The sequence below is a fragment of the Homo sapiens genome, chromosome 16 (assembly GCF_000001405.40).
Source record: "Homo sapiens chromosome 16, GRCh38.p14 Primary Assembly".
NCBI lineage: Eukaryota > Metazoa > Chordata > Mammalia > Primates > Hominidae > Homo > Homo sapiens.
In genome coordinates, this window is record NC_000016.10 from 88,163,209 (window position 1) to 88,176,778 (window position 13,570).

The 13,570-nt window shown below is 47.3% G+C and overlaps 1 protein-coding gene across 1 annotated transcript in view; it reads left to right on the forward strand.

Annotated features, from left to right (window-relative positions):
- The window catches only part of ZNF469 (zinc finger protein 469), a 339,823-nt gene that overhangs the window by 62,278 nt on the left and 263,975 nt on the right, over positions 1-13,570 (forward strand). The window lies entirely within an intron of this gene.

Below are 13,570 nucleotides of genomic sequence, written 5' to 3' on the forward strand. Positions count from 1 at the left end.
GGTTGATGGATGCATGACTGGGTGGGTGGGTGGATGTATGAGTGGCATAAGTGGATGAATAGATGGGTAGATAGGTGGGCAGTTGTGTGGATGGGTAGATGGATGGATGGATGGATGGATAGATAGAAGGATGGATGGGTTGATGGATGCATGACTGGGTGGGTGGGTGGATGTATGAGTGGCATAAGTGGATGAATAGATGGGTAGATAGGTGGGCAGTTGTGTGGATGGGTAGATGGAGTGATGGATGGATGGATAGATAGAAGGATGGACAGAGAAGGATGGATGAATGGATGGATGGATGGATGGATGGATGGATGGATGGATGGATTGGTAAGTGGGCAGATGAGTGGGTGAGTGGATGAATAGTAGGGTAGATGGATGGGCAGATATGTGCATTGGTAGATGGATGGATGGATGGATGGATGGATGGATGGATGGATGGATAGTTGGGTAGATGGGTGGGCAGATATATGGGTGGGTGGATGTATGATGGATGGGTGAGTGAATGGATGGGTGGATAGATGCATGAGAGGATGGGTAAGTGGATGAATGGATCGGTGGATAGATGCCTGAAAGGGTGGGTAAGTTGATGAGTGGATGGGTGGCTGGATGCAGGGATGGTAGATGTACAGACGGATGAGTGGATGGATAGGTAGGTAAGTGGATGAATGGATGGGTAGATGAATGGATGGATGGATGGATGGATGAGTGGGTGGATGGATGAATGGCTGGGTGGGTGGCTGGATGAGCGGGGTAAGTGGATGAATGATTGGGTAGATGGGTGGGTAGATATATGGATGGGTAGATGGATGAATGGATGGATGGATGAATGGATAAGTGGGTGGATGGATGAATGGATGGGTTGGTGGGTGGGTGGATGAACGGGGTCAGTGGATGAATAGTTGGGTAGACGGATGGGTAGATGGGTGAATGGATGGGTAGATAGATGAATGTATGGATGGATGGATGGACGAGTGGGTGGATGGATGAATGGATGGGTGGGTGAGTGGATGGGTGGGATAAGTGGATGAATAGTTGGGTAGATGGGTGGGCAGATATGTGGATGGGTAGATGAATGAATGGATGGGTGGATGGATGCAGGGATGATAGATGTACAGATGGATGGGTGGATGTATAAGTGGGTAAGTGGATGAATGGATGGGTGGACGGATGCAGGAATGGTAGATGTACAGATGGATGGGTGGATGTATAAGTGGGTAAGTGGATGAATGGATGCACGGATGGATGGATAGATGGGTGGCCAGATGCATGAATGAGTAGATGGATGTTTGGATGAGCAGATGAATGTGTGGGTGGATGGACAGACAGGGTGGGTATGTGGCCTGAACCTCGCTGTTGATGAGGGCACTGTTGATACTCTGAGTTTTTTCCCTTTTTATGTTTGACGTGGATTCTGGTTCATGACAGCACAGTGCCTTCCCTGGCCAGATGATTTCACTGTGCTTTATGGCTCTGCCAGTGGGGATCACAGGGCTGGCCATCAGGGCAGGGGGTGAGAAAGCAGGATGAGGTCAGAATAAAGCCCTTAAATCTTCACAGGGAAGCAGCTGGGCCTTGGGTTTCTGGGTGGTGGGTCTGCAGTATCCCCTGTGACTGAATAGTGCATGAGTCCATTGGAGGCAGGACCAGCACAGGACACTTCCCGTGGGGTTGGATCACAGTCTACACTGAGCGTGCTTTCCAAATTGGCTCAGGGCCAGGCAGTAGGTGGTGTGCCCCGCCATGCCACGGTGCCGAGGGAAGGCAGGGCCATCGTGGGCTCGTGTGTCTTTTATCCCCCCACAGGTGGTGTGCCCCTCCATGCCGATGATCCTGAGGGAGGGGAGGGCCATTGTGGGCAAGTGTGCCTTTCATCCCCTTCATGGCTTTCAGTTGTGCTCAAACCAGAGTGGCCTCAGCCCGAAGGTAGAGGCAGCAGGGCTCCTGTGAGTGGGCTCAGGGCACCCAGCAGGGTCTGTCTGGCATCATGTGCATTTCACTGGAGTCATCTCCCCAAAAGGCTGCCTGTCACCTCCCCATGGAGAAGCATGTGCTGCCTTCCCTGGCTCCCAATGCCCAGCTCACGCCACCCCGGGTAGCCGAGGCTTCTCTGGCGCCTCCCAGTCCCTGTGCCTTCAACCTGGTGTCCCCGATGGCTGTGAAAGGCCATTGAGGGAGGACATTGCTGCGGGGTCTGCTGGTCTCTCCTAGGCACCATTTCAGGAGGGCTCACTCGGGCTCAACTTCCAGAAACTGGGAATGCAGGGCTCTGCTGTCTGAGGCCTTCCTCAGCCTCTGGGCTCCTGGATTCTCGGATGTGAAGCAGCTGGTGAGAATCTCTGGGGACTGCTCGGCCCTCTCTGTGGGCCAGGGCTTCAGCACGCTAACTTTTTTCCAATTTTTAAATCGTGGTAACATAACATAAGACGTACTATCTTAACCACTTTTAAGGTACAGTTCTCTGGGACTCAGTACTTTCTTTATGCTGTGCAAACCTCACCAGCATCCATCTCCAGAACTTATTTGATTCCACACTGAAACTGTGTCCCCACTACACCCCGACTCCCCGCTTTCCCTGCCCCAGCCCGGCCCCGCCGCCTCCTTTCCGTCTCTGAGTCTGATGCCTCCAGGAACCTCGCGTAAGTGGGATCCTGCGGCATTTGTCTTTTGGTGCCTGGCTTATTTCAGTCAGCACAAAGCCCCCGAGACTCATCCACATGGGGTGTGTCAGAATCTCCTTCCCTTTTGAGGCTGAGTGGTGTTTTTAAACTTTTAAAACCTTGCACAACCCCAGAAGCGGGCACTATTGTTACGCACCCAGGGGCCACTGAGGCCCACGCCAGTGAGGAGGCCGACCCTTGTCCCACGGTCACTGCGTGTAGAGTGAGATTCATGACAGACAGGCTGGCCCAGAGCCTGCGTTCATTCTCTTTTCCAGCATTTTCTTGTGAAGAAGTTCAAACATACAGTAAAGTTGAAATAATTTTGCAGTCAACACCCACACACCCACCACCTAAATTCCATTAACAGTGAACTACACTCACTTTGATCAAATCTCCATTCCTCCCTCCCTCCCTCTTTCCTTCCCTCCATCCATCTTATTTTTGGATCCATTTCAGAAAACAACTGTGGACGCAAGCATGATTCACTCTAAATGGTTTTAGCTCAATTTCATTAGCTAGAGTGCAATCGTTGTTTACGTTTTAAGTGAAATTTCCATGCGGTGAAATGCACAAGTCTTAGATGTACGGTTCGCTGTTTTGGCAAATGTGAGCGCCCCTCGGCACCCTCCCTGATCAAGACATGGAACCCCAGGAAGTTCCCTCCCCACTCTTCCCAGCCATCCGTGTCCCTCCTGCACCCCTTGAGGCAACCATTGTCCTGACTGTTTCATCAAAAATAGTTTTTTTAGTCCCAGAACTTCATATAAGCCAGAGTCAGCATTGGAAACCGCCCATCGATAGCGCCACTGGGTGAGGCGTTTTTCAAGGGCTGGGTTTCAGAACCGATATGCCTTTCCTACTCCGTGGATCAGGGCGCTCCAGAGAATCAGAATCATAAACACACACACACACACACACACACACACAAATACATATAAATGTATATAAAATATGTAAATATATAAAAATGTTATATCTAAATCCACCACATTGATAACAGATAGCATTATATCTGTAAAATCATTTCTATATGTGTGATTTTTAGGAGTTTTCTCTTGCAACTGTAGGGGCTGGCGAGCTCACGGTGTGCAGGTGCCGGCAGGCAGGACTCTTGGGCGGAATCCATGCTGTGGTCTTCAGGTGCAATTCCCTCTTCTCTGGAAAACTGCAGGCTTATTCTTTTTTTTTTTTTTTTTTTTTTTTCTAAGAGGGAAATCCCATCTGTCCTCCAGGCTGGAGTGCAGTGGTGTGATCTTGGCTCACTGTAACCTCCGCCTCCCGGGTTCAAGCGATTCTCCTGCCTCAGCCTCCCAAGTAGCTGGGATTACAAGCACCTGCCACCGTGCCCGGCTAATTTTTGTTTTTTTAGTAGAGATGGGGTTTCACCATGTTGGCCAGAATGGTCTTGAACTCCTGACTTCAGGTGATCCGCCCGCCTCGGCCTCTCAAAGTGCTGGGATTACAGGCGTGAGCCACCATGCCCCGCTCGCAGATTTGTTCTTCAGGCCTGCCATTGACCAGATGGGTCCCTGCATTGCAAGAAGAATCTCCTTGACTCCGGCAGCTGGTTGCTGACACCGACCACGTCCACCTGGCACCTGCACTGCAGTGTCCAGGCTGCTGCTTGACCGCCACTGCCCCCAGCCCACTGAGCGACACATTAGATTTCCCTCCTGCACTGGACGCCTGCAAGTTGCCACCTCCTGCCCTGGCCCTGGTTAGGAATGTGGTAGGGAGGTTTCCAAGGTGGGGGGCAGGACCCAGAGACCCAGCCCCGGGGGAAGTCCTGATTCCATCTCAGGAGCCACTCCGCTGCGTTTCCTCATCTCTCTGGTCAAGGGGGCGCCCATCCCGGGCAGAGCTGCAAATGGGGGGTGGGTGTGGCCACCAAGCCCCCTCCCCTGGTTGCCGGAAGAGCAGCTGTTGTGTAACAGAGGGATTCTCTGCACCGCTCCCCAGGACGGACCGCTCCTTACAGCGATGATCTGATTAGGTTTTAATGAGAATAATGTTGGCTTCGAGGAAGGAAGAATCCAGCAGTGTTTTGATGTCAGCCAGGCGTCTTGAACACTGCCCCCCTCCAAACATTTGGAATCTGGCACGACCTGTCATGCAGTTTGGCGGGCGGGTCCCCCTCCACCCGCTTCGCGATGAACCCCATGGGCGTTTCCAGGGAGACGTGAGCCATGTGTCCCTTATTCATTTACACTTCGTTCATCAAAACACAGTTTTGTAAGAGCTAATTGGCACCGGGGTAGCCTTTCAAATCTTTTTTATAAGCCTCTTACCATCTCTCTAGTTTTGAGCCAAGAGTTAACAGAAGCTCAACTTCAAAAGACTGAAGTTTGGTCTGAAACTCAGAGTGTGGGTGTCTGAGGGGTACTGAACTTGGCCGAACATTTTCTACTGATTTTAGGCTGAGCAGAGCCAGGCTGTTGGGAAAGATGCTGGAATCCAGGCAAAGTGAACTGGTTTTTTTCCCCACATATTTTCTAGGCTGACAACGGCCTTGAGCTGGGAATTCCGTGGCCTCCCTGTCACCTGCCCGCTGTGGGCCTGGGCTGGCTCATCAGTGATTGTGACCTTGTGTGGGGTCGCTCATGTGTGATTGTGACCTTGTGTGGGGTTGCTCGTGTGTGATTGTGACCTTGTGCAGGTTCAAGAGGGGTCCAGGTAACTTCTTTCTTTTTAATAGTCCCTTTTCTCTTGCCAAAGAATGGGGCTTAGATAAGTCATTTTGTCCCCATCTCCTCTCCAGAACAGTTTGTTTATCTGTCCATTCATCCACCGGCTTCTTTAATCATTTGTATTGCACACCTGCCGTTTGGCAAGCACTAGGACGAGGGCTGGGCTTTGAGGATTAGCAAACAGCACCGTGGCAGGCCTTCTGCAGAGCAAACTGGGAGCTGACAGCTAAGTAGAAAAATAAGACTCTGAGGCTGGGCTTTGTGGTGGCTGTGCCTGTAATCCCAGAGCTTTGGGAAGCCAAGGCGTGAGGATCGCTTGAGCCTAGGAGTTTGAGACCAGCCTGGACAACATAGTGAGACCCCCCCCTCTACAAAAAATAAGAATTAGAATCTGAAAGGGCAGGAGGGGGGCCTCCTCGTGTGTGGTAGGGAGGACGCCATCTGGAAGGATGTGGGGAGGAGGACAGGATGAACATTCACGTTGGGGGACAGAGTGTTAGGGTCCCTGGGACACCAGGGGACAGGCCGGAAGTGTGTGCAGCTGTGGGTGGGAGGGTCAGCTGTGAAGAGGGTGGGGTTGAGGACAGGGCCCAGCTCACGCATGACTGCCATGAGGCAGAGGGATGAGGTGACGTTGGTACAGGAGGATGTACCTGTTGTTGCTGAAGTCAGGTTTGCTGGGATGTAATCTACGTCAGTAAAATCCACACTTTCAATTGCTGCTCTCTGAGTTTCCGCGAATGTGTACAGTTGTGTGACCAACATGGAAACGGAGGTGCAGGATGTTCTATCACTCCCCCAGACTCCCTTGTGCCCTGGGAGTCAGCCCTTCCCCTGCGCCAGCCCCTGGCAGCCCCCCTCTGATTTCTGTCCTGGAGATGATTTTGCCTGTTCCAGAACGTCATCGAGGTGGAGTTCTCCAGTACGCAACCTTTCACCTACCAGAGTGCGTTTGGCGATCCAGGTTGCAGCCCATCTCCATCCTTCTTAGTCCTGAGCTGAGTCCGGGGCTTAGAGGCACCAGCTGCGGTGGTCCATCCACCTGCCGAAGGACGTTTGGGCTGATTCCGGGTCTGCCAACTGGACACAGAGCTGCTGTGAGCCTTTGCGCCCAGGTCGGCCTTCGTGCTTACATTGGCCGTCTGCCCCTCCGTCCCAGCACCCAGCCAGTGCTCCAGGAATGTTTGTAAGGGCTTTGGCGTGTGCATGTTGAACAAACCCTTCTCCAGAGCGGCCATGCCACGCTCCCACCAGCGGTGCATGAGGGTTCCTGTGGCCCCTCCGCCTCTGGCACACGTGGGCCCACCAGTCTCTCTGGGGTCGGCCCTGCCAGTGGGGTGCAGTGGCACCTGGCTGGGGTTTCGAGATGCATTTCCCTAGTGACTAGTGATGTTGCGTGCCTTACATGGACTTCAGCTGCTGTTTTTAGGATGCATTTATGGGGGGCATGGTGCAGAGAGCACAGGCTGGAGGAGGACAGAGCACCCGAGTCCCGCTTGTGGCTGCTGACTTACTGTGTGACTGTGGGTGAGTCACTTAACCTCTCTCAGCCTCGCTTCCTATCACTGTGTTTCTTTTCCACCTTTATCTAAAGAGGTATATTCGACAAATGGAAATTGAATAGAGTTAAGGCATGTAATGTGAAGCTTTGATGTGCGTATACACTGCCGAATGATTACCACAATCCAGCTAATTGTCACATCCATCGCCCTACAGTGACCTTTGTGTGTGATGAGAATGCTTAGGACCTGCTCTTCTCAAATTTCACATACGCAATCGATTATTCTGAACTAGAGTCACCAGGCTGTGCACTAGATCCCCAGGACATATTCACTGTACAACTGAAAGTTCTCACTCTTTGATGGACACCTCCCCATTCCCTCCCTGTTCCCAGCCCCAGCAACCACGGCTCTACTCTCTGCTTCAGTGAGTTCAACTTTTTTAGATGCCACATGTAAGTGAGATCGTGCAGTGTTTGTCTTTCTGCACCTGGCTCATTTCACTTGGCATGACGTCCTCCAGCCTCCTCCACGTCATCACAGATGACAGGACGGCCTTCTTTTTAAAGGCTGTAGCATGCTCCGTCATGTCTATACCACGCCCTGCTTGTCTGCTCGTCTGCCAAGCAGCCGTTGGGATGGTTCCTTTCTTGGCTGTTGTGAGCAGGGCCGACACGTCTCAATGTTGTACTGATTTCCTTTCCTTTGCATAGGTACCCGTTGATGGGGTTGCAGGATCATATGGTGGTTTTACTTTTAATTTTTTGAGGAACCTGCATACTTTCCTCCCCGGAAGCTAACTGACTTTCCCTCCAACCGCGAGCAAGTGTTGCCGCTCCACACCCAGCACCAGGGGTAGCGGGGGACAGCAGACTTCCCCGGGCTGCCACGAAGGCCAGGGTCCAGGCACAGGAGGGGAAGTGCATCATAGTTAAACACTCACCCTAGGACAACCTCTAGGAGGTCAGCACTGTAGTAATACAAATGTCTTTTAAATATACATTTATCTAAATTTAAGAGAGAAGCTAATTTTAAAGAAATACGTTAAATAAATAACAAGGTAGGCATTTAGCAAGGTAGGCATTTACCTAGGTAGGCATGATGGAGATTTGGCAAAAGTCATGAGGATGCACATGTGAGTGATGTTTGGGAATCCCTGAAATAATGCAAAGGGCCTTGGCCTGTTCTAGCCCCAGCTCCACCCCAGGTAGTGGTGGCCCATCTGCCACCTGTTCCAGGAGCATGTTGAGAATTCGAAGTGATCACTGTCCCAGGCACTTGCCTAGGAACACCTGGAGTTCTGTGGAGCATGTTTCAGAGATTGCACCCAGAAGCTCAGTGTAAGAACTTGCTCCTGATGGTGCCAGCCCAGGCCCAGCCTGCCCTGCTGTATCTCAGAAAGCTCCTGAAGCAGGAACCCTACCTTTCTGCCAGGATGACACAAGCAAAGAATGTCAGGCTCACAATCTTGGCTTCAGATACACACACATAAAAATAATCACATTCTTAAGTCCTATGATCAGGTACTGTGTCTCCATGATCTCCAGTGAATAGTCCCAAATGTTAGCTTATGAAAAATGCACAGACTCTGTGGTTAAATACGGACATTGTAGAGAGTTTATAAATGGGTGGAAGACCCATCGCTGCGTTACCCTGGGGAGAAACGGTCTTTATCCTGATATCATGTCCTTCCTGCTGTGTGATGGAATGACAGTGACAGTAGAGGGTGATGTATTTGTTGGGGTTAGTCTTTAAAATGTGGGAATGAAAAATGATTTTGTTCAAAAAAACTCAAAATTTTACTGCTATTTGGACATCTGGTTCTGACTAATACGGGGTAACAGGAATGGGGATTTACCCTCCTGCTGCTGTAAACTACTAGAAAACTGGATGAAGTGTTCAGAGCATCATGTTCAGACATTGGACAACAGATAGCTCAAGACTGTGATCCCTGCGAGAAAGGACACAAGTGTCCCATGGAGGTGCCAGCTCACTGTAATGAGGGGAGAGGAGATCAAGGTGACCATCTCACTGAGTAGAGGAGATAGAAATGAGTTCAGGGAGGGCAAATAGCAAGAACCAGAGGGCAGACTACTGGAGAGGAAAGCACTGCCCAAAGAGAGCGCCAGAGGTCTGCAGAGAGGGCCCCTGGGGTTTTGGCTAAGCGTTGATCTGTGTGTGCGTGTGAAGAAACTGCTGAAGGCTGGGGAAACACCCACCCGAAAGGAGCAGGCAGAACAATACTTGGAGCTCACACAGGGTGGGGGACGGTTTGTGTTCCCACCAGCCAGGATGGAAAGACTATATAATATGAAAATCCTCAGAAGAGTGTTGCCTGAGAAATGGTGGTAAATTAGCCATAGCCTAAGGCTGTTTTGGACCCACCCTGACAACATTTAAAAGCAAGCCTCAGAAAGATCGAACTGATTCCAAATAACTTCATTGCACATAAAGTCCAACGCTATTCAAAGGAGTACAACAAAAGCCAGAAATCAACAATGAATTTTCACGATGTCTGGCATTTGGTCAAAAATAAGAAGATATGCAAAAAATTAAGATCCATAATTGGAGGTGGGAGTGGGAATCAATCATAAGTGACAGATGATGGAATTCACAGACAAGGATGCTAAACAGCTATTAAAAATGTTTTCCATGTGTTCAAGAAGGAGGAAGAAAACATGGTCATGTAAGGAGAGAAATTAAGCATATAAAAGGTCACAAGCGAAACTTTTAGAGATAGAAATTTAATACCTGAAATGAAAAATACACTGGATGGGATTCACAGAATAGAAGAAAAGATCATTGAGTCTGAAGCTAGAGAAACTATAGCTATAGCTATAGAAACTGTTCGAATCAAAGCAGAGAAAAAAGTCTTAAAAAACAAAAACAAAAACAGGACACTGGTGACCTGTGGGATAATATCAAAGCATCGTGTCTGTGTGTAACTGGAGATCTAGAAAGAGAAGAGAGGCAGGGACGGAAAAATGTTTTGAAGAAATAATGGCCAAACGTTTTTTGAATTTGTTGGAAAGTATAAACCCACAGATCTAAGAAGCTTGATAAATCCCATGTAGAATAAATACCAAAAGAGCCACATCAAGGCATGTTATAAACAAATTTCTGAAAGCCAGTGATAAAGAGAAATCTTAGAAGCAGCCAGATAAGAAAAAACATATTATGTATAGAGGAAGAAAATATGAGAGACAGCAGATCTCTTGACAGAAACCATGCAAGCCAGAAGGCCATGGGAAGACATCTGTAATATGCTAAGGAGGCGGTTGGTGGGGAGAACCTGCCAAGAATGATTTTTTTAACTCAGTAAAAATATCATTCAAAATTGGAGATAATGACTATTTTATACAAATAAAAACTGATGGAATTCATTGTCAGCAAATCTGTTCTACAAGAAATGTTAAAGGCTTCCTTCAACATTTCTTTATTTTTCTTCTTTCAGCAGAAGAAAAATAATTCCAGATGGAAATTTAGAGTGACACAAATCAGTGAAGAGTAATTACAGAGATAAATGCAAAAGATAGATAAACGCATTTTCCTCAATAATTCACTGTTTAAAACAATTTATTTTGGGGTTTATAGTATATGTGGAAGTAAAATCTATGACAATAATAGCACAAAGAATGAGGGTTGGGGGAATGGAAGTACACCACTCAGTGATTCCTACACTCTATGTGAAGTGGAACAATATCATTTGAAAGTAGACTGTGATAAGTCAAAATACATATTATAAACTCTAGAACATTCAATAAAAATTAAAAATTAAGGGATAGCTAATAATTCAATAGTAGGATAAAAGAGAATCATTAAAAATAAGACCCTCGATTAATCTAAAAGAAGGCATGAAAAAAGGAAAGAAGAAAGAAAGAACAGATGGAGGCAAATAGAAAACAAATAGCAAGAAGATAAATTTAAATCAAACATAATCAATAATTACATTAAATGTAAATTATCTAACCTCCAAATTATGAACAACAATTGTAAGATACAGTAAAGAAGGAAGACCGAAGTATATGTTGCCTACAAGAAATGCAATTTAAATAAGAAGCACAAGTAGGTTAAAAGTAAGAGGGTAGAAAAAAGATATATCATGCTAACACTAATCAATAGAAAGATAGAGTGGCTCTATTAATGGCAAACAAAAGAGATTTGCTAGCAAAGCATATTAGTGGAGATAAAGACAGTTATTTCCTAATGATCAAGGTGTCAGTTCATGAAGGGGACACAAAATCCTAAATATGTACATTCTTAATTACAACTTCAACTTACATGAAGCAAAACTTGATAGAACTGAACAGAAAAATAGAAAAATTCAAAATTATAGCTGGAGGCTTCAGTACCCCTGTATCAGATCAGTCAGAGTGTAACCAGAGGAGCAGAATTTGTCTGTCGTCTGTCTGTCTGTCTATCTATCTATCTATCTATCTATCTATCTATCTATCATCTATCTGTAGTTGATCCTTGAACAACATGGGTTTGAACTGCAGGGTCCACTTATAGGTGGATTTCCTCCCACCTCTTCCAGCCCTGATACAGCAAGATTAGTCCCCTCTTCTTCCTCCTCTGCCTCAGCCTACCCAATGTGAAGATAATGAGGATGATGACCTTTACAATGATCTACTTCCACTTTACCAATAGTAAATATGTTTTCTCTTCCTTATGGTTATAATATTTTTCTCTAGCTTTATTGTAAGAATACAGTATATAATACACATACAAAATATGTATTAATAACTATTTCTGTTATTGGTAAGGCTACTGGTCAACAGTAGGCTATTCGTAGTTTCTGGGGAGTCAAAAGTTATTTGCAGATTTCCAATTGTGCAAACATTGGCGCCACAACCTCTGCATTATTCTAGGGTCAACCGTGTGTGTGTGTGTGTGTGTGTAAATGAAATTGGCTAATGTAATTGTGAGGGCTGTCTGCAAGTGTGAACATGGGCTGACATGACACAGACACAAGCTGGAGCTGTTGTTCATAGGAGAAATTTCTTCTTTCCTTTGGGAAAGGCTTACTGAGCTTTTAAGATCTTCCGACTGATTCAGTCAGGCCCTGCCAGGATAATCTCCCCTACTTAACATGGACTGATTATAGACTGTAGTGACACCTGCAAAATCCCCGCACAGCAGCACCTAGAATAGATTTAGATTGGGTAACTGGGACTGTAACCTCACCAACAGACACATCAGAAAGTCATCAGAGCCCTCTCTCAACAACTGATAGAATAAGCAGACAGAAAGTCAGTAACATGTGGAAGACCTGAAGAACGTTACCAATCAGCTTTACTTAATTGGCACTTACAGAAAATTCCCTCTAACCACAAAATAAACATGGAACATTCATCAAAGTGGACTATATTCTGGGCCATGAAATAGATACCACTAAATTTAAGAAGATTAAAATCATACAATATATGTTTTCTGACCACAAGAGGATTAATTTAACTAGTTATCAGTAACAGAAAGATGTCTGGAGACTACCTAAATATTTGAAATTAAACAACACACTTCTAAATAACTCATGTTTCAAAGAAGAAATCACTAAGAAAATTAAAAAATATTTGGAACTGCGTGAAAACGGAAATGCAATCCATCACACTGTATAGAGTTCAGTTAAAGCCGCACTTCAGAGGGAAATGTATAGCATTCAATGCTTATGTTAGAAGAGAAAAAAGGTCCCAAATCAATTATCACCTTGAGAAACTAGAGAAAGAAGAGCAAATTAAACTCAACAACCCAGAAAGGAGAAGAGAAGAAAAGGAAGAATCAGTAAAACAGAAACAGAGGAAATCCGTTTCACTGGTCCTTTTAATTCTGGAGTTGGAGGACACTGCCCTGATCTATATGATGATCTAGGAATTATCCTACCTTAATCTGTACGATTATCCTTCCTAAGTCATAGATGACAAATAGGCTCAGAAACACCAGGTGGCTAGTGTGTGGTGAAGCTGACTCAAACACAGGCCCTCTTGCTTGTAGAAGTTCCCACCTGCTTCCTGCCACCCCAGGGCTACTCCACTCCCAGAGGGCTGGGGGGTCTCAGCCTGATGGCCTGAGGACGTCTGGCACCCTGCACCCACCGAAGCTCATAAAATGCTTCCATTAGATGGGGATCCTGAGTTATTAGTACCAGACTGCACGGAGCTCACAAGTTCCAGCCTTCTGTCCATCATCACGCAGGGCCTCCTGCTCTCCACCCTGGGATGCTTTTGTCTTGGGAGATGCCAGAGTGAGCTGACATCACTGGCGCTGCTCCTTGAGGCCATCCACCCAGAGATGTGCAGTGCAGAGAACATGATGGATTGGACCTGGGCCTGGGGGAGCTGGCTGGGACACCCGTGTGCTTTCCATCAACATTTCAGAGGCGTCAAAGAAGGAGATTTGTTCTGCAGTGCCAAGGAGCTTGGCCAGGCCATGCCTCCAGCCCCTGCCAGGAGCTTCTCCACTAGGGCGTTGGATAGCAGAGACGCAATGGCGGCCTCCACACACCACCCTCTCTCCCATGAAATTAAAGAGCTGCTACAAGAAGTCTCAATCTTGAAACTCTAAGAAATATGAAAAAAAAAATGAAGGTGGGGAAGTTGTTATCATGATGACCGTGTGTTTGTCCTTGGCAGGTTGCTACGCTGCCTGTGGTGGGTCGGCCCGTGGCCTGCCGGCCCACATACAGCCCCGGCCCCTGCCACAACCCCCAACGCCCAGCGCA